General features: G+C 37.2%; 1 long non-coding RNA gene across 2 annotated transcripts in view; it reads right to left on the bottom strand.

The window, feature by feature from the left end:
• LOC105370224 (uncharacterized) overlaps window positions 1–16,059 on the bottom strand; it is a 31,790-nt gene extending 15,731 nt beyond the window's left edge. Inside the window, exons 1-3 of one of the 2 annotated variants that reach the window (XR_007063813.1) lie at window positions 15,733–16,059; window positions 12,807–12,878; window positions 8,718–8,896 (exon numbers count right to left, since the gene is read on the bottom strand). This is a non-coding gene — a long non-coding RNA (uncharacterized LOC105370224). Of the gene's footprint in view, window positions 1–2,548; window positions 2,603–8,717; window positions 9,075–12,806; window positions 12,879–15,732 lie in introns of those variants that run through there. The other variant, XR_941994.3, reaches the window with a different exon arrangement.
• Window positions 16,060–20,282: the final 4,223 nt, after the last annotated feature.

The following is a 20,282-nucleotide window of genomic DNA, read 5'->3' on the forward strand; positions in this document are numbered from 1 at the left end:
TTGCTTATAACAACATTGTTCCATTTGGCTTTATACTAAAAGTAAATGGCCATCAATAATAAGATGAACAAATAATCTGATGTTTATTTATTAGATGGAATACCATACAGTAATGAAAATGCACAATCTATAGCTACACCAACAATGGAAATAATTCCTACAAGCATAATTCATTTGATAAAAACTCAAGAACAGGCTGAACTAAACCACATTATTTAAGATTGCATACTAGGCAGTAAAACTGTAAAGAAAAACAATGAAGGAATTACCATATAAATCTGGATAATACTATTCCCAGGAAGGGGAGAAGGGGATTGTGATCAGGAAGGTGTTCAGTTGCTTCTGGAGTGAGGGGAATGTTTTGTTTCTTGATCTGATTTCATGGTGTTCACTTTATAATGCTTCGTGAAATTGTAAAATTATATTTATGCACTTTTCTGTAAGTCTGTTATAATTCACATTAACAATTAAAAGAAAGAAAAGAGTTATTCTCTCACTGCAGAAGGCCATAGAGAACAATAAAAATCTTACTCTTTTATGAAATTGTTTTTTGTTGGAGGTTGGGAGGTCGTTATTAGCTATAATTTTTTGAACATGTGAGAGGGGAACTTAATGAGAAATGAAAATGAGGCATTTTTACTTTACTGATGGGCATTCCAAATGATAAAATATACTTTAAGAAATGTATTCATATTTTCAATTAATGCTGTAAAGAGATATTTCAAACTAGGTTAACAGTTGCCTTGAAGAAAGGCTTGTTTTAGTGAAGAAGAGTAATGGTCAACTACGCTATCCATTTAAATAAAATAATGGACACTTTGTCTCTGTTTTCTTCCATTCAGTTTCATAATTTCCTAATTAGTGTCATTTGAATTGGTGAAAGTGTATCATCTTGGCCCTCCCCATCCCTCCACCCCAATTCTCATGTGCACTCTCTCTCAATATTCTTTTGTATTTTGTTTGACTGTTTTATTGAAAAGCCATAAACAAGCAGTATTAGTTTGCTAGGGCCACCATAACAAAATACCACTGGGCGGCTCAAACAACAGAAATTTATTTTCTCATTCTTTTAGAGGTTGGAAGTCCAAGAACAAAGTGTCAACAGGTTAGACTTCTCCTGAGACCTCTCTTTTTGGCTTGCAGATGGGCCACCCTCTTGCCGTGTCCTCACATCACATTATTTCTATGTGCATTCCTCCCTGCTATCTCCTTCATTTCTTATGAAGATGTCAGTCACACTGGATTAGAGCCCCATCCTTATGAATTCACTTAAGCTTAATTACCTCTTTAAAAGCCCTATCTACCAATATAATGACATTATGGTTTAGGACTGTCACATGCAATTTGATGGCACACAATTCCGTCCATAACACGAGCTCTTTCATTTTGATAATAATATACCTAACCACTCTTCAGAGTATCCAGTGTGGTACAATAAATGTGAAATTTGGCAACTCTACATTGTTGCTCAGAAAATGACAAATCATAAGACCTATCATCTAATCCTCTCTCCTTTTAACGGTAAAATACAGATAATACATTTAAATAAATTGAGTATGTAAAATGGGACATGAACCTTTTTAGAAGTTACAATTGAAGATTGTAGATACATTTCAAAAGGACCTGGAGAGGAAATGGGCAATAAATTATGAGCTGCAGCTCTTCCTAAAGTCATCAGAAAGGCCTTTCCTTCTTCCTTTGAAAATACCTCCTGGTAAGTCAACCTGTTCTTCCTTTCTGATACCTACTTCAGATAGTGGATGTAGCCCTTAAAAAGAGAACCCCATTTTCACACAAAGGGAAGATAACACAAATTTAAAATACAAGAAGGATACTAGGTCCCCACTCACAGCCCACACCATAGCCCACACTATCTTTATCTCATGCTTCCAGGCTCTTCCCACTCACTTCAGCCTTCACAATGCCAAATTATTGCCCAAAAAATAAATCTAATCATGTCATCCCCTGTTTAAATATTTGAATGTTTCATTGTTTCCAATAGACTCAAGTCAATATTTGATAGCTCGGGATATAAAGCCCTTTATAAGCATACTCCGGCTTACTTTGACAAAAGTATTTCTTGCTACTTCACTCCATGTGTACTTTGATCCAACTGCATAAAACTCCTCAGCAGCCTCCAGGTTTGTCCACTACCTTGCCTAGAATTCTCTTTCACTGCATCTGTGCCCAGGACACTTCTCAGCTTTATGACACAGCTCAGAGGTTACCATATGTGGTGCCTCCTTACTGCCCAAGCAAGCTTAGTCTTGCTTCACGCTACCACAGAACATTGTTCTTACCTCAATTATAGTGCTCATGATGTTACACTGTAATTGTTTATTTATAGCCAAGCCCTGCACTCTAGGCATAGGCAACTTGAACACTGTGTCTTGTATATATTTACAGTCTCAGTTCTTGGCATATGGTAAGAAATAAAACCATGATAACTCCCACTAAATATGATTTTAATGTAAAAATCAATGCATTCTTTTATTCCATCAACAAATATGCATATAGATATCAAGGGTCCCCTACAAAAAATACTCACTGAAGCTGTGGCCATACAGCTGTCACTGTCAGATGTATACATGAATCTTACATTCTAAAAGAGAAAGATATCAAACAACTTACTATATGATTAATTATTTCACTGATAAGTTCTACAGAGGAGGAAAAAAAGATGTGATGTTATTGAAATACATCATAGGTAGCATGATTTCATCTAGGGAAGAAATGGCTAAGCAAGTTTTTCTTATGAGTTACCGCTAATAAAAAAGAGAGAGAGAGAGAGGTGAACCAGGCCATTATACCCAAAATGCAGTTAAGTGTAAATGATATAAATTATTATTACACAGTGTATTTTAGTGTATTTGTTTTTAATAACTTTCTCTTATAGCATATAATCATGATTTTATTTTACATTTACTGCAATGATATTAGATTTCTTTTTCTAGTATATTAATTTTAGTAAAAAGAATGATTAAAGAAATTTAGCAAATTAAAGGAAGATAATAGTATCAGTATATAGAGACATGGCAAAAAAAATTATATATAAATAACTAGTGCTAAATTCCACACAATGCAGAGGAAAAGGAAAAGAATTTCAGGTAAATGGAAAAAAAATGAGTGAATGCCTTACAGAAAGAGCCTGGCATGTAGAGAAAATGAGAGAAGTCCAGCATGAATGAAGCTCTGAGGGAGAAATGGCATGTGTTGGAAGATGAGGCAGGGGAGGGACATCAGTGGGGAGAATCAAAGTGATAAGAATATTTTGAGAAAGTCATATGAAGGAGGTGGATGAACAAACAACAGAAGACTGAGGAGGAATTAACGGAGAACCAGCTTAGTGTTGCATCATGCCGACCAAGGGAAAACATGTTTCAAGAAGGGAATAATTAACTGCGTGCAACAGTGCTGACAAGATGAGAACCCAAAAGCATCAACTGCATTTGACGACATGTGGGTCATGCATGTCCTGAGCCAGATAAATGATCCTGCCTGAAGTCTCTGATGTATCCTTCTCTGCATTTTAGATAAATGAAAATAAAGAGGGTCTTAGGCAGAAGATAGGCCTTAATCTGTCTGCTGTTATGGCCCAATTTTTCTGAGAAATGTATTTTTCAAATTCATTTCTCTGGACATGTATCGCATAAAAAGATCATAATTTCTTATTCACCAATTATTGATGATTTTCTTTGATGACAAATTAAAATTCCTTTACTAGATGTTTGATCCTGGGCAAGTCATTTATCCGTCTGAAATTCCAGTTTCCCTTTCTGCCACATGCAGAAAATTATACTACAGGGCACAGTTTTTATGTTTAAGGATAATGTACAACCAGCCCCTTGCATAAAGCAGGTACTGCCAAGTAGCTTGGCTTCTCATTCAGCTACAGTAGGACTTTCTTCTCTTACCATTGTGATTCACTCCCCTTCTTCAAACCATAAGGAGAAAATGAGTCTGAGGTTTTATTCTTGAACATCACATGCTTACCCATGAGGTTACACAACCATTCCCATATAGGATCAGCGTTTGATGACAATGCAGTTTTCTGCATGTCATTTGAGTTCCAAAAGTAATCGTACTCAATAAAATACCTTTAAAAATACATAGACAAGTAGCTGACTTCCCCAAATAGGCAGATCCCTCAAAACAAACAGTAACTCCATAAAACTCATGAAATTCTATTTCCTGAGATTAACATTCAAGAGATGTTAGGTATGCCATAAACATTGTTTAGAATATTACAGTTATTTTAACTTATTCTTTTTAAGAGTAAATCACATTTACAGAAGCACACTTACAAAGGAGTGCTGAAGACAATGCCATGTGCAACAAATAGAATTGTTGTTTTTGTTTTTACTCTTGTCAGTGAACACTTATTAAACACCCACTAGGTCCTGGACCTCATGGAAACAAATGTGAGTTAACACATTTCCTCTCCAAAAAGACATTTTTCAGTGACTATTTTTTTCTAGTATCTGGGGTAGACAAAACTGACTACATCACATTAGAAGTCAATCTGTTATCAAATTTAAGTTTTTGCAACAGCAAACATTTTTAGATTACATGAGCGTGCACACACACACACAGGCACACACAGTAAAAGCACCTGAAATAGGCTATATTCTATTATTGTAAATGTACTCCCTGACTGAGACCTGGTATGCCAGCCTGAAGCAAATTATTATAGCCTAGCTATTAACTCCTAAAAATAGGGAGCTATAATGGAAACACTTGGAGACTAAAGAATGAGCAAAACTACTATCCCAGCAATGGTGCAGCAATGAGACACATTTGTATAGTTTGCCATGTCATGGCAGGGGTTAGGTGTCAGCCATCCCTGCCTTGTCACACCAACCTGTACTTTCGATTCTTTTTTTTTCTTTTTTGTCCTTTTACTGTATACTTAAAAAAATTTTTTTTAACAGTCTCTTTTTTAGTTTTTCTCTTCTCTCCTCTCTGGCCAAATTCTTAGGTCAGATTTGTCTTTTAAGACTGTACCCCTTGTCCCCACCCAAGAAAAGGGTGGGAGCATTTGTTGAAGCAGAAGTCATGAGTAAAAATTGCTAAAGTGATCAGAAACAAAAATGCCAGAACTGTGACCCTTGGCAATTTTGTAGCACCCTTGTTGAGTGACTGTATATGTGAGTGCACGTTTTCTAATGCAACCCACTAGATCCTGAACATTTTCTAGAGTGTAAGACTATTTTCTTTGAGCTTATGCTAGGGCGATAATATATTGTCATCTAAATTTATGTTGTGAGACAGCTGTTTACTATCTTATAATTAGGTGGGCCAGTAGAATGTGTTTGTATATCTATTTGACATACCCGAGACTTGAAATAAATCATCTGTATAGTGACATATTGTTAAGAGAAACTTGAAAAAATTAAAATATCCTATTTAGCTTACAGATTTCAAACTATAGGCACAAATAGATAACCGCAAAGTTTATCTGAAATCACAAAGAAAATATAAAGAATTGAATGACGCCACATGTACCTCAATCTTAAATTGAGGTATAATTTTCATACAATAAAATGTACACAGACCTTATATGTGACAATTTGATGTGTTTTGAGCAGTGGATACACTCACTTGTGTAAGTCACAAATCTACGATAATAAGGAACATTTCTATCATCCCAGAAACTCCTATGCACTCATTCTGTTCCCCTACCAACGCTCTTTCCACAAGAAGCAACCACTGTTCTGATTTCTCATGCCATAGATCAGTTTTGTGTTCTCTAAAATTACACTAAAACGTGGAAATAAACACTTTTGTGATTGACTTCTGTCATTCAGCATAATGGTTTTCAAAGTAATTCACGTGTTTACACGTACAGTAGTTCTTTTATTTCACTGCTGAATAATATTTCATTGCCTATATTGAAATTGATTAGGCATTCACTCATCAATGAACATTTGAATTGTTTCCAATTTCAGGTTATTATAAATGAAACTTCTATGAACATTATTGAACAAGTCTTTTTTTCAATGTATGTTTTTATTTTTGTTGAATAAATACCTAGGAGTAGAATTGCTGAATCATAGGGTAGGTAATTGTAACTTTAAAAGATACTGCCAAATGGATTTCCAAATTAGATGTATCAGTTTTACACCTCCTCTAACATATGAGGTTTCTGGTTGCTATAAATACATGTCAATATCTAAATATCATTTTTTTCAGCATTTTAAAATTTATCTCAGTATGTACTAATATCTCATTGTGGTTTCAACTTTCATAAGCCTGACTAGTGATGTTGAACATGTTTTTATGTGACATTTATCTCCCTTCGTAAGTACCTGTTCAAGACTTCCATCCATTTATTAAAAATTGTGTTTTTGGGGTTTTTTAAATTGATTTATGAAAGTTCTTTACATAGTTTGGCATAAGTCTATAATCAGATATATATGCACAAATCCTTCCGCTTAGGTTTTTGATGAGCAGAAATTTTTAATATTTATGAGGAATAAATTATCAATTTTTCATTTCATTTATTGCATTTTTCAGTTCTAGAATTTCCATTTCTTAAAGTTTTTATTTCTCTACTGGGATTTTCCATCTGTCTGTTTATCTTGTTCATCCTTTCCTTTAAAGTCCTAAACATAATTTAAATTGCTATTTTAAATTCTTTGCTAATTCCAACATATCTTTTGTCTCTGTATGTGCCTATATTATGTTTTATTTCCCCCGGTTATGGGACACCCAATTTCTTGTTTTTATGCCACTTAGTAATATTTTATTTTATGCTAAACATTACAGGCACTATGTTGTTGAGAGTCAAAACTGTTTTTAAGTCTTTATTTAAAGCGAATTGAGTGTTATTCTGGCAGGAAATTAATTTAATAGTGTATCAACTTGATTGCTAAAATAGGTCCATATTATATATTATTCTAAGTCTAAGGTAGCCCTATTCCCAATATCTAAACTTTTAGGAACTAAACTGAATGTCTATTGTGTTTAGCAAAACTTCAACTTGTCATGACCCCACCTCTTTAGAAATGTGCATCCTCTAGAATCCATATTTATTTTCACAGTTCCCCAGCCTCACTGCCTCTTTCCCTGTACACTTACAGCTTAATATTTAGCAAAAAACTTAATAACAATGTCTAGGAAAATTTCATTTTTACATAGTTCCTTTCTCTGTGGTCCTTGGCCTTAAAAATTCCAATCCACCCAACAGCCCTGTGCTGCAATCTTCACCTCCTAAATTCAGCAAGACTATCAAGCTCTGTTTGGGCTCCACCTTCCTGCTTTGCAATCTGGAAACTGCCTCCAGGTAGGGAAAGTCATGGTGATCACGGAGCTTACTTTGTGTGTTTCCTTTCTAAGACCACAGCCCTGTGTTGTCTCTTGTCGAATGTCTCAACAGTTGTCTCATATATTGTGCCCAGTTTGATAGCTGTTTGTGGTGAGTGGGCTATTCCAATGTCAGTTACTCTCCATGGCTGCAATAGAGTCTCCCAAGATCTGTTATTCATGACAGGTAATATGCATCAGAAACACAAAACATGGGTGCTAGTCAGTAAAAGGCCAAGACACACAAAAAGACCTCAAAGGTTTTGTTTTCATTTTGTTAATAAAGACTTCATTTTAAAAACCTTGCTTCCCTGATTTCAGCAACCGAAAGCATAACAGATTCTTTCTGCATTATACCCTTCAGCTAAGTGGGGTTTCAAAGATAACATAGGCAACTCTTTAAAAAGCCATTAGTATTTAAAAAGAGCCAAATACATTGTATACATTCAGGAAAAATGAAAAACAAAAAACTATGAGATGTGATTTTTGGAAATGAGATCTGAGCTATATATGACATTTGATCTCATTTCTTTTTCTTCTTTGTAGTGAGAGCATATGCAAAGTTGAAGGTGGATTCTGGACTCTTGACATTTTTATCATTTAAACTAGAAATATCCCCAGTTTTCCTAAACTGAGCTCAAGCTATTTCGCATCCTGCTTCTGTGTATACTCATGCCCAACCTCTGCCACCCTCACACTTACACACACTCCCACACAGATGCACACAAATGGCCCTGTGAGAGCACAGCCCTCCCTGCCTTTGCAAAGGATGTAGAAAGGCAAGGATCATAACACAATTTGAAACAGTGTCATTTCCATGATCATTATCCTTTTTTCCACATTCTATCATGACTTAGTGTTAGCTGATTTTTCTGACATAGTATACACTAAGACACACGCACGCACACATGAACTGAGAAATACAATATTACTGATTTAAATTTAAATCATTCAAAAATTAGAATAATCTTGGATAAAAAATAAAGACTCTAGGTACAGAAATGCATTTCAGTTGTTGCTTTTGGAGGGCCAATTCTGCTCCAGTGCCTCCTGACTTTCTTAGTGGTGGCCGTGGAGCTGTGTCGGGAGCAGCAGTGGTTACAGACAGTGTCTAAAGCCTCCTGGACAGAGGACAAAATATAATCGAATCATGTTGGAAGAAAAAATAACTAAAATTCAAACACTCTTTTACTAAGAAACCTTCAAAGGAAGAAAAGAACAGACTGAAAAATGAGCTGAAGCAAAAGAGCGGCAGAGACAGAGCACAAGAAAAAGAGATCAGGAATAAGAAATCCCTTCATCTAGTTTAAAGTCAAAATGCCCCTTAGTGAAGTAGACCTTTAAGTGTAAAGAAGTGAACTAAACTTATTTGGGTAAATGAGACAAAGGGGGCAGTATGACGGCCTCCTTACCTTTCACACACAGTTAACTCTGTAACAGAAGGCTGATCACCTCACTTTGAATTGCCAGTTAAACCCCTGTCTTCCCTTTCTCCGTCTGCAGTCTTTAGTTCAGGTAGTGGAATAGATATTCATTCCAGTTCTTGTTCCATGGTTTGCCCATGGTGCTTCTGTGTCTTCTTTTGTGTTGTCTGAGCAAGGTAAACAAACAGATTGAATAAGGAAAGGATTAAGAAAGTGAAAACCGAGAGAACTGAAATAATCTCTCTCAATTCACAGAGCAAGAAAGTGGCAGAGATCACATTGTCACAGGGTCCCTGTGTGGTTCGAGGTTGTATTCTTTCCACTGTGCCCTATTCTCTTCCCTCAGGTTCTGAATATTTTGGAATGGGAGTACAGTTGTGTGGGTGGTTTATGTTTGTACAAATTGGCTTTCCAGACCAAACATTGGCTTATGTTTGTACAAAATCTTTCCAAAACCAAACATTGGCTTATGTTTATACAAATTGTACAAATTGTAGTGTATATCATGAGACAATGTCACATTTGTTATTTGTTGTTAAATAATAACAACCTTTAGTCAAAGATTATGAAATTCAATGAAATTAAAGAATAAAATCTATCATGATGTTAAAGCATCTAGTACATCATTGTTTCTTTTCAACAACTGTCCGAAACTGTACAGAGCTTTTATAAAGTTATTAGTGAATGAGATATATTGCTCTGAAACTAACCTCTCTTAGCAGCCATGGAAAGTAAAGATCCCATCATTTATTTTTAAAGCAGAACTTCAATCAAAAAAATCCAGAAAGGTATTATTTATCACTACAGATATTATGTTGTCTAAGAGGTGCCATTGACCTAGCTTTGCACTGAAGGGACAATAATCTTGACACTACTATTCATGGAGTGAGGATCCAGGAGTGGTTTTTAAGCCAATATGCACTGTTATGGCAGTACTGATTATTAAAATATTTAAATAGTTTCATTTTGATTGGTAAACGTCAGATAAGCAGTAACATGATTTAATAACATAAATTCCAGCACATATAGTTTCTCTCAAAAGCCAAACATACACTATAATTCCAGAACCTTTTTTTCCTTGATCAGGCACTGTGAACAGAACTCAGTCTCCGCTCCCAAATTCTGCTATTTATTCTAAATATCAGGACAGGAGAGCCAGCTTTGCAACCAAACTGAAGAGAACCTGTTCTATGATCTTCCATAAGAAATGCCCATAATCTTCCCAGGAAGAGAAACAGGGACCATGCTCAAGTAGCAAATGAAGAGCTTGCTGAGGCAGTTGTCAAATACACGTGCTGCACAGTGCTTTGTCCAGGAAAATTTTTAAAGAGCACAGGTCTTTTTAACAACTTATTTCCTGGCGGGGGGTGACTATCCCCGTGAGTCAGAAAAGGTCAGGAGGGGTGTTGCCTAAATATCTGCCAAAACACATTTACTAGTTAGAAGAGCACATACCCCCAGAGAGCTACAGTGAAGTCCTATTTGTCACACTCACCTAAATTTGCCACCTCGTCCCCATCCACTTCTTCCCTATGCTTATCAGTTCCCCTAATCCTAGGAACATACCAAGTTTGCTTGTCTCCTGGCACATAAGCCTTACTCAGCTATCAGTAACTGTAATTGTACTTTCTTCCCCTCTCTTATTTCCCCCTGTTATTTTTGTCCCAGTTAATATGTTGGCATCTGGCAGCCCCACCTCACCTGTTGACACCAGCCTGCTCCTGATTCACCCCAGGTATTCAGCTGTCTCATGCTCCCGGGAAACAAGGAAGGTAAAAGCCCTGGCCCCTGGCTCCATAATCCCAGCAACAACCAATCTTCACTCTCTTCTTGCCCTTCCACTGTTTCTCTCTCATTCTCTCTGGTTTCTGTCTTTTTGAATATTGATTTTTGACTATTCCACAGAGATAGTGCATTCGTCTGTTTTCACACTGCTATAAAGACATACCTGACACTGGGTAATTTGTATAGAAAAGAGGCTTGGCCGGGTGTGGTGGCTCATGTCTGTAATTCCAGCACTTTGGGAGGCCGAGGCAGGTGGATCACTTGAGATCAGGAGTTCAAGACCAGCCTGGCCAACATGGTGAAACCCAATCTCTACTAAAAATACAAAAAATTAGCCGGACATGGTAGCACATGTCTCTAATTTCAGCTACTCGAGAGGCTGAGGCAGCAGAATCACTTGAACCTGGAAGGCAGAGGTTGTAGTGAGCCAACACTGGGCCGCTGCACTCCAGCCTAGGTGACAGTGTGAGACTCTGTCTCAAAAAAAAAAGAAAGAAAGAAAAGAAAAGAGGCTTAGGCTGGGCGCAGTGGCTCACGCCTGTAATCCTAGCACTTTGGGAGGCTGAGGCAGATGGATCACTTGAGGTCAGGAGTTCGAGGCCAGCCTGGACAACACGGTGAAACCGTATCCCTACTAAAATACAAAAAATTAGTTGGGCATGGCAGTATGCGCCTGTAGTCCCAGCTACTTGGGAGGCTGAGGCAGGAGAATTGCTTGAACCTGGGAGGCGGAGTTTGCAGTGAGCTGAAATTGTACCACTGCACTTCAGCCTGGGCAACAAAATGAGACCCCATCTCTAAAAAGTAAAAGAGAAAGAAAGAAAGAAAGAAAAAAGAAAAGAAAAGAGGCTTAATCTGCTCAGTTCTGCAGGCTGTACAGGCTTCTGCTTCTGGGGAGGCCTCAGGAAACTTACAATCATGGTGGAAAGTGAAGGGGAAGCAAGCACATCTTCACATAGCTGGCAGGAGAGAGAACCAAGGAGGAAGTGCTACACACTTCTAAACAACCAGATCTCATGAGAACTCTCTCACTATCATCACAAGAACAGCAAGAAGGAAGTCCTCCCCCCAAGCTCCAAACACCTCCCACCAGGCCCCTCCTCCAACACTGAGGATCACAATTCAACATGAGATTTGGGTGGGGACACAGAGCCAAACCATATCAGGGAGGAAGTAAAATAGAAAAGGAGGGGGAGAGACTTAAAGAGTGATGAGGGGAGTCATATCCCAGATGGAGAGGCTAATCATGAAGCAGCATCTATGAGTCGGAGAGGACCACTGTCACCTAAAGGCTGACAAGTGAGTGGGAAATGATCACAACAGATAGAAACATGATGCTGACAGGGACATTATTTATCTGGGAACTACATAAACAAAAGATCAGATCACCAATTAGTTACTCCAAGATTACTTCGGGTGTGTTTGCTCTGACAGTTGTCTCTCTAATCTCCATGCTCCTGGTCTTGGATCTACGTCTTTGGCAACAATAAAACGTTTTCAACTCCATTGATGGAAGCAAGCAATTTTTGAACTGATTAGGGATCAATGCCGAGAATCCATTCAGTGAGAGCTGCAGTACTCTGGTAATTTGTTGAAGAAACTTTTGTCCCTCACCCAACAGCTGTTTCCAGCCCTTTCTTCTTCAATATCAAAGCCCTAAAGTTCTGAGAATAAAGATGCTAGAATTTTAATATACTTAATTTTCTTTTTTCCTGGAAGCTACTACTGACCCAAGAGGAAGTCTACTGGAGGGAGTCCAAAGGCATTTTCTCCCGGATAAAAGATACCTGCTAGAAAAAAGCTTTGTCACTCCCCTATTCCATCCCATCCCAACCTCCAACCTTTCTTCCTATTTTTGACTCATTGTAGCCTGAGGACTGAGGCTTGGAAGCTGCTGAAGCCATCTTCTGACCAGGAAGGCAGAGTGATGACGCACTACAGATCACAAAGCAGAAAGCCAGAAGGGTCCTGGATCTTGGTGAGTTCTTGATCTGCTAAATTGACCAGGAAAAGGCTACCTATAGACTTCCTATACTTATCATTTTCCTTTCACTTCAGTGGACATATTTTTCCCGGTATTTTGTGACTTGTAGATGAAAGCATCCAAACAAGCTAGTGCACCTTAAAGAACCCCACAGTGACCTGTGGCATGCCAAAGCACCCTATTTCCCTTCATTCTGAGTCGTTAGCTTTTTTGATAGACCATCAATAGGAGATAATGATTACCCCAGAAGGAACTGTAGAATTTAAAATGATCACAGTAATTTAGAATTGATGGGAGTAGACACATACCCTCTCTTCTTCATCAGCACTCTTTTCTACCAAATTGTTCTTGGGAAGTCATCAAGCTTCTGTTCAATTTTCCTAAAACAGAGAACTCATTATATCATGAAACAGCCCAACTCTCCCCTACCTTTTCTTTATGTAATTCAATTTTCCTGCCAGACCATAAAACAACACATATTATGAGAGAAAAAGAAGAATTCAATAACATTATTTCATTACTGCGCATTTTTAAAATGCACTGATCTGTAATGAAACCACCTGAAACTTGGAGAAAGATCATATGTTGAATAATATTATGTTTTTCTTGTATTTTTATAAATTATTAACACATTTTTGGATTGATTTAAAAGTAAAGAAAGTGAAGAAATTTAACATTATCTTGTAAATAACCCAACTAACACTAGTAATGTTATTAGTAAGGCAGCCTCACCGCACTCAAATTATTAATTAATGGAGTGTAATTAGAGTAAAAGATAAAAAGAAAAAACAATTTATGAAATATAATAACACTATGAAGAAATTTTATGATATTTTTATAGCACTCTATATCAAGGAAGAAACCTGCAGGGAAGAAAACTGACTACATATTTTAAAATGTATATAACTAGTATAATATTAAACATAAATATTTATCTAAGTATCTATTCAGAAGTTGGCTTCACTCAGCAATTTATGATCACAGAGAATTTATGCATTTATTTATTTTTTAAATGTCTTCCATTTTAGTTTGACTATTAAAATAATCAGAAGTTCAAAATAAAATTCACTGAAAATTTCCTTGGTTATGAACTGTATTTTGATGTTTGCTCAAAGGCCATTAATATGTGTTCAGTGATTGATGGGCTGATTTGAAATTTCTTGCAAGCTTGTAATGTCATCTTGAAATATTGTATTATTCTAAGATTCCAAAAAATTTTTAACAAAACTTAATATGGCTGTTTCAGTGTTATTCCATCAAATGTGAGATCGCAAAATTGCAGTATATCTTTAGGCCATAGATGTGAGCCATACTATATGAAAATAGAAAACGAGCTCAAGAATTTTATAGTGTAGTCATTGATCTTACAAAAGCATCTGTCTGCTAGAGCAAAGCCGAATCCTGCACACCAAAACAGCCTTATATGTATTTAGTACTCGCTCAGTCTTCTAAGACACATGTGCCCATCTCTTAAATCCGAAATAAGAATGTGTCCTTCCACACTACAAAATTATCTCCAAAATACGTATTGTGAATTACCTGTTTGGTCAAAGTAATAGACAAGATAACTTGTATCACCTATTTATTTGATGCTTTGTATTTTACACAAAAATATCCAACTCAATGGGGGAAAAAAGGTAAACCAGTAAACCACATATTCAAGGTCACGTATTATGAATAAAAGAAACCTCCTTTAACAAGTTGTATATGTAGATAAAGGCTTGGAATTCCACCAGTGTCCAATTAAGTGTCACAAAATATATTACCCCATATGTTTCTCTTTTTAGGACTAACATTTCAAACCTAAAATTTACCCTTTGTATCTTCCAATTGCCAAGGACTGACTACCACGCTAAAGTTCAGTTCATCTGCAAACAATTCAGGTTTTATGATCTCACAGTTCACTTGAATAGAGACGTGCTGATTTGTGACAAATTGTGTTAGGTTAGCTTAGAATTTCCAAAAGTAACATCTGCAAACTTTCATTTTAACATTATATGTTTTGTTATATTCTCATTTTTAGTATTTTATTTGCTAGTATTCCAAAGAAAAGTAATGTTCCCTGAAAACATAAAATAGAATGCAAGGTGGTGTGTGGTATGCATTTTCTAGTTGTTTTGTTAGTCATGCTATGAAAACAAAGAGCATAATTTTGTGGCTAAATACTGCCCACATCCCCTTTGAAAAATGCTACCTCTAGGAACATCACTTTCTCTGGTTGATATCCTTTATACCCTCATCTGAAAGTCAAATGAAGATTTCCAGGCAAAAGAAATAAGAGCTAGGGTGTGCCAGTGGGTTTATTTTTAATTGGAAAAAGAACTCCTCTTTCTTAAAAGTCAGGTAATGATTTCAATGTGTTTCTAAGCAAGACCTGAATAAAATATTAGACAATCATGCTCAAAAGCTATTAGTGGTTTTCTAATCTAATACAAGGAGCAGTAGTTTGGAAAGTAATTGGGGTTTTCTTTATTTGTAGTTGTAGAACTTGTGGAAAATTTACCAACTATACCATTGTTTTTGAAATTTTTATCAGGCAAAACACTGAGTTTCAACATTTTTATATGTGACTGGGAATAATATCCCCATGCATTAACTGATAGATTTAACCCACAGAAAAGTGCTACAGAAATAAATACACAGTATTCATGAGATAAAATCTAGACCTGCAGACAGTGGGGGACAGGCTGTGTTTTGCGTGCATGCGTTCCCCTCCCCACTAAAAATAGTCTGTTATTCTAAAGTCTTATGATCATTTTTTAAAATTATTATTTCTGGAGCCAAATTTGAAGGCTAGAGTCTACTTTGTTCCCAGATAAATTCTTGTATTGAATTCATCAATCAAAGTATTGATTGGAATAAAATTTGGATTTGTGTTTCTTTAACTCCGGCATCACAGATCATACAATCTGCATGTCCACAATATATCGCAAATGCTAGCATAGGAAATTGCTAAGCATGGAGCAATGGGTAACTTTTATTTAAAGGGAGAATTGTGTGAGTCGGGCAAGAAAGCAAAAATAATTGGATGATGTTGTGTGACAGAGCAAGCTGGTGTGTTTTCTTCCTCTGAACACTTCAGCATTAAATGTAGAATTTCCTTGGTTATGGCAGGTGCATGGTGTATTGGGTTCATGTTTTTAGTTGACAACTTTTGACACGTGTGCTAACTTTCAGGATGAAGGAAGAGAATCAGACAAAGTGCCAAAATATATAAAATTCCCACCATCTCACCTTTAGAAATAGGTCTCCTCTCCAAAATAAAGCTCTTTCAAGAATAGAAATCCAACTGTGTTCTCCAACTGTAGATTTTGCATGGTAGAGGTTCAGTAAGGAATACTGAGTAGGATTTATATCCATTAGCATACAAAAACTCAAATTAAGAAACATTTGAATGGTGATAAAAGAATTGCCTCCCCACTGCATCTTTGAAAGTGCATTTGGCACAATATTTCTTGTCCTGCTGATAATCATCTTTTCTTCCTGCTGTTTACCCAGTCCCCATTTCTGAAGACTAAGTAACTTTTTTTAAAAGAAAACAGACTCGCAATATTAAAATAAATCCTAATGACTTGATCTAGAGACAAAGTATAATGTCCACCATTTTAAATATCATAAATATAATCTAAAAAATAAGAACTTCATATATTTTCAATATACAGATATGTATTTTTTCCAACACTAGTAGGATGCATTAAAATATGTTCTCCTTAAGAGATTTCAAATTCGTTACCAGACAGTTATGTTTTCACTTTAGTTTTAAAAACGGGGCTGGCAGCGCTTTATGAATAAAAATGAAAAGTAAATTCCACAGCCAGAAAGTCTAGTGCCTGTGAGCCCTTGTTCCTTGGGACTTGAGATTATACATTGGGCAAACCAGTAGCCTACTGATTCAATCTCAGTGAGTAACAGAGAGGTTGTAGTGAAAAAAAAAAAAAAACACTAAAATTATATCGAGTTCTGGCTACCAAGTGTTTTATTAGCCAGATTCAAAAATCAATAGGAAGTCTTTGGGCTCTCAATGTAGAGATTTTAAAAGAACCTATAAAGGGAATATTATCAGTCTTCCTGTTCATCTACTGAAATAAAATAGAGGTTGTAGCTCTCCTCTCCTGGCTAAGAACAGTAAAAGAATCAAATTTGAGCATGGCAAAGGTTGCTTCACATACCCAACCTCTGAAAAATTCTCCACACATCATCATGTAAGCCACATGGTTAAAGGTAAGGTTATGTCTGAATTTCAGACTGGAAGGGGTCTTGGATATCATCTAATTAAATGTCCTGATTTTATAGTTGAGGAAAGTAAATCGACAGTCACTTAGCTATTTAATTGTGTAGCCATGAGACTAGAATTGAAATCTTCTGAATATCCATCAACAGTTTTGGAGCAGTTTCCCCTTTCCACCATACACAACAGAGATATTTCTTGTGAACCAAAAGTCACGGTTTTCAAGCATTTTTGAAGATATGGTGAGAAATACATTTCATATCATTCATTATTACCACATACACACAAGAGAGACAAAAATTTCTTGAAACAATATTTACTACATATGATACACCCAGGTTCTCTATTCCTTTCTAGTATATGCTACTGTATTTTTTAATGGTAATCAAGACCCAATAGAATAATAATTTCACTATTTCCTAAGAGATTATGATTTTTTTTTTTTGAGACAGGTTCTTGCTCTGTCACCCAAGCTGCAATCCAATGGCATGATCATAGCTCACTGCAACCTCGAGCTCCTGGGCTCGAGCGACCCTACAGCCTTAGCCTCCCAAGTACCTGGGACTACAGGAGCACACCACCATGACCAGCTAATTGCTTTCTTTTTTGTTAAGACAGGATCTTGCTATGTTGACCAGGCTGGTCTCTAACTCCTGGCCTTATGCAGTTCTCCGAAATCACTGGGATTACAGGTGTAAGCCACTGCACCTGGCTATACATTTTGAAACAATAACTGTAGTCTAACTTTCCTATTTTGTTGTCTTTGAAGAGACATAAAGAACTTTAATTGTGATTTCAGGAAATTATGCCAACAACCCAAGAGGCAAGAGAACAGGGCATGTACCTTTCAGACAGAGGAAGACCCTGAGTGAAGACGACCAGTGCCGATTTTACTCATTATGCATGACTTTCTCATACCAATTCACCCCAAATTGCTTGTTCATATAGCACTCTACCCAGTCAGGAAGAGGATGATCTAGAGAGGAAGGTTTATTTCCACATAACTGCTTCCACCTTCCTGATTTCCATTTCCAATCATGTTTTGCCGAGTTGTTGGAAAATCGGAGTACCTTTCACTGTAGTTTCTTTTTACAAGTAAATTGCTTTCCTCACATTTTGCTGGATAATTCCATTTTAATAATCCTTAAATACATGCCCATGTCTTTCATCTAGTTCAGCGCCCCATTCCGTGGACCATGGGCAACCCATTCTTCTATTCAATTCCCCTCTCTAAATAGAAAATAGGGATCCCTGTGGAATACTTACAAGTCCTTTGACTCTTTTGTAGCCACATGCTTCCTCTGTACCCCACCCTACTCCCTATTCCTCCTCCCACACACTCTCATTCTCTCTCTGGTTCTTATTCTGTCTGTCTGTCTCACAAACTAACGCATACTGGCAGGGATACATGCCAGTCTGGGGATAGGATGTACAAGTTGACTGGATTCCTTGGGTAATACAGATATGTGCACTGCTCCCACTGCTGGACCCCACTATCTGTCACTACCACTGTGCACACACATATAGGCACCTGCAACCACCACCACCCAGTCTAGGGATCGAGTGATTTTTTACATGGCTAGTTCTTTCTGTTGGCTAGTTTTGTGATTCTGTTGACTTGTTTGCAACCAAATTTTAAGCAAAAGCCTAATACAGAAGTGAGAGAGAAGGAGCCTTTCTGGTTTAGGGGAATATCGAATGTACACACTGGCTTTGCTTCTCACCTGTCTTCTACCTTCTACCATTACAAGGCAGGCTTAGCTCCTTGGAGCAGTTTAAAAACCTGAGGTCTCTCCCAGTGCTCTCAGACATTACCAGAAAAATATAATACTCTGGTCATCTGGAATGGGAATGAAAAGGAAAGAATAAAGGGAAGAGAAATAGAGGGAGATAAATTCCTTATAATTTGTGTTAGATAACACCTGAAAGAGTTAAGAACAAAGCTGTGCTGAAGTCTTCAGCAGAGATGTTATTAGCTGTATTGTTTGTATTCATCCTTGTATCAGTTTGTTTTTAGTAGCAGCCACACAAGTGATCAAAGGGTCTTCAAAAAGAGCACTTTATTATGACAAGTATCACTCACAGTTAAGCCATCTCTGCATTCCTGAAACATGCACAGACCCTCAAAAAGAACAAAACAAATTAAGTTAAAAGTAAGAAACACACATTGGGCAACAGTCCCCCATGGCAAGCATGGCATCCTTTCCTTTTTAGCTAAAATCATTTTTCAACCGGTAAGACAGCAGACTGCTGAGAGGCTCTCTGTGGAACAGTCACGGAGATAGCAGGTGATGCCATCCCAGCCCTCTGAATGTCAGAGAAGAATTCCTGCTTCTTCACATTGTGAGCTGGTAAATCTACATCAGGCATAACTGCAAAATAAAAGCCAGATGGTCTCAAACTTTCCTACCACTGCCAATGACCCAGAGATGAATTGTCTTTGCAGGGATCAACACAGCAATCTTGACTTATAGACACTCTAGACTTAAAGTAGCACAGCCCCATCACCTCCTCCCTATAGTGGAAAGAACTTGTTTAACCCCAGTTGTACAATTCTTCGCAAACTGATATTTGCAGTGAAAACTCTATATGCCTAAGTGCAAACAAAAAGGTTTCTTGAAGATGTTTTTGTGTCTCTCATATGCCTTTAGTTAAATGTGGATGGAAATGTTTGAGGCAACTTCCAAAGTCAGACCATTAACAGGATGGGTGTTTCTTGTTGAACATGGAGTGGAAGGTTAAGCAATGAGAAATTTGGCAAATCTTCTTGGCCAGTAGCCTCCAGCAATGTGTTTCAGAAGGCCTTTACTTATCTGTTCTCTGCTCTCAGCCTCACTATTTGTTTGAGGGTGGTGAGGCACAATTGCGACAGGTTAGATAAGGTTTCTGTCTGCACATTCCTCAAACTCAACTGAGGTTAAAATAACAGAAACAATAATGTCTGTCAATCTGAGATGCTGTAAATAAGTGACACAGAGGAGCTGTGCCCAGATGTCAGGGATTTAATTTAGAACTAGGAGCACTTGTAGAAACACTGAACAGTGTCCCAGAATCATGAATGGTTTTCTCCAGAATGATCCGGCAAAGTAACTTATTCTCTTGACCGTGGCTTCTTTGGTCCCCATACCCAGCAAAGTAAGTACTTTGGATCCGTTACAACAGCAAATTGGCACATGCCACACACCTTTATAGACTTAAATATCAGAATCATTTCCATGCAACCAGCTACATTTTAAAGCCAAAGCTTTTATACAAACAATTCAGAATGTGAGCGTTTGGTGTGGCAAACATAATGCAATCATTTCATTTGAGAATAGCAATGTAATTCCCCCCTTTAAAATGTATGCTTTATGCATAGACAGTTCACATGAATGCTTGTGAAAGGCCTGGTTCCTGAGCAATAACTTACTGAAGAGTAGACAATTGGTGTTTCATTGCTTTACGGCATTTGCAGCTAAATCTAAACTCCCAGGTTGAGCAATGGTTTCTGTTTGATGTAGTGCAAAAGCACAGATGCAGAAGATAATGACTGCTTAGAAATCGCCCTCGTGCTTGT

This window comes from Homo sapiens, chromosome 13 (genome assembly GCF_000001405.40).
Source record: "Homo sapiens chromosome 13, GRCh38.p14 Primary Assembly".
Taxonomy (NCBI): Eukaryota; Metazoa; Chordata; class Mammalia; order Primates; family Hominidae; genus Homo; species Homo sapiens.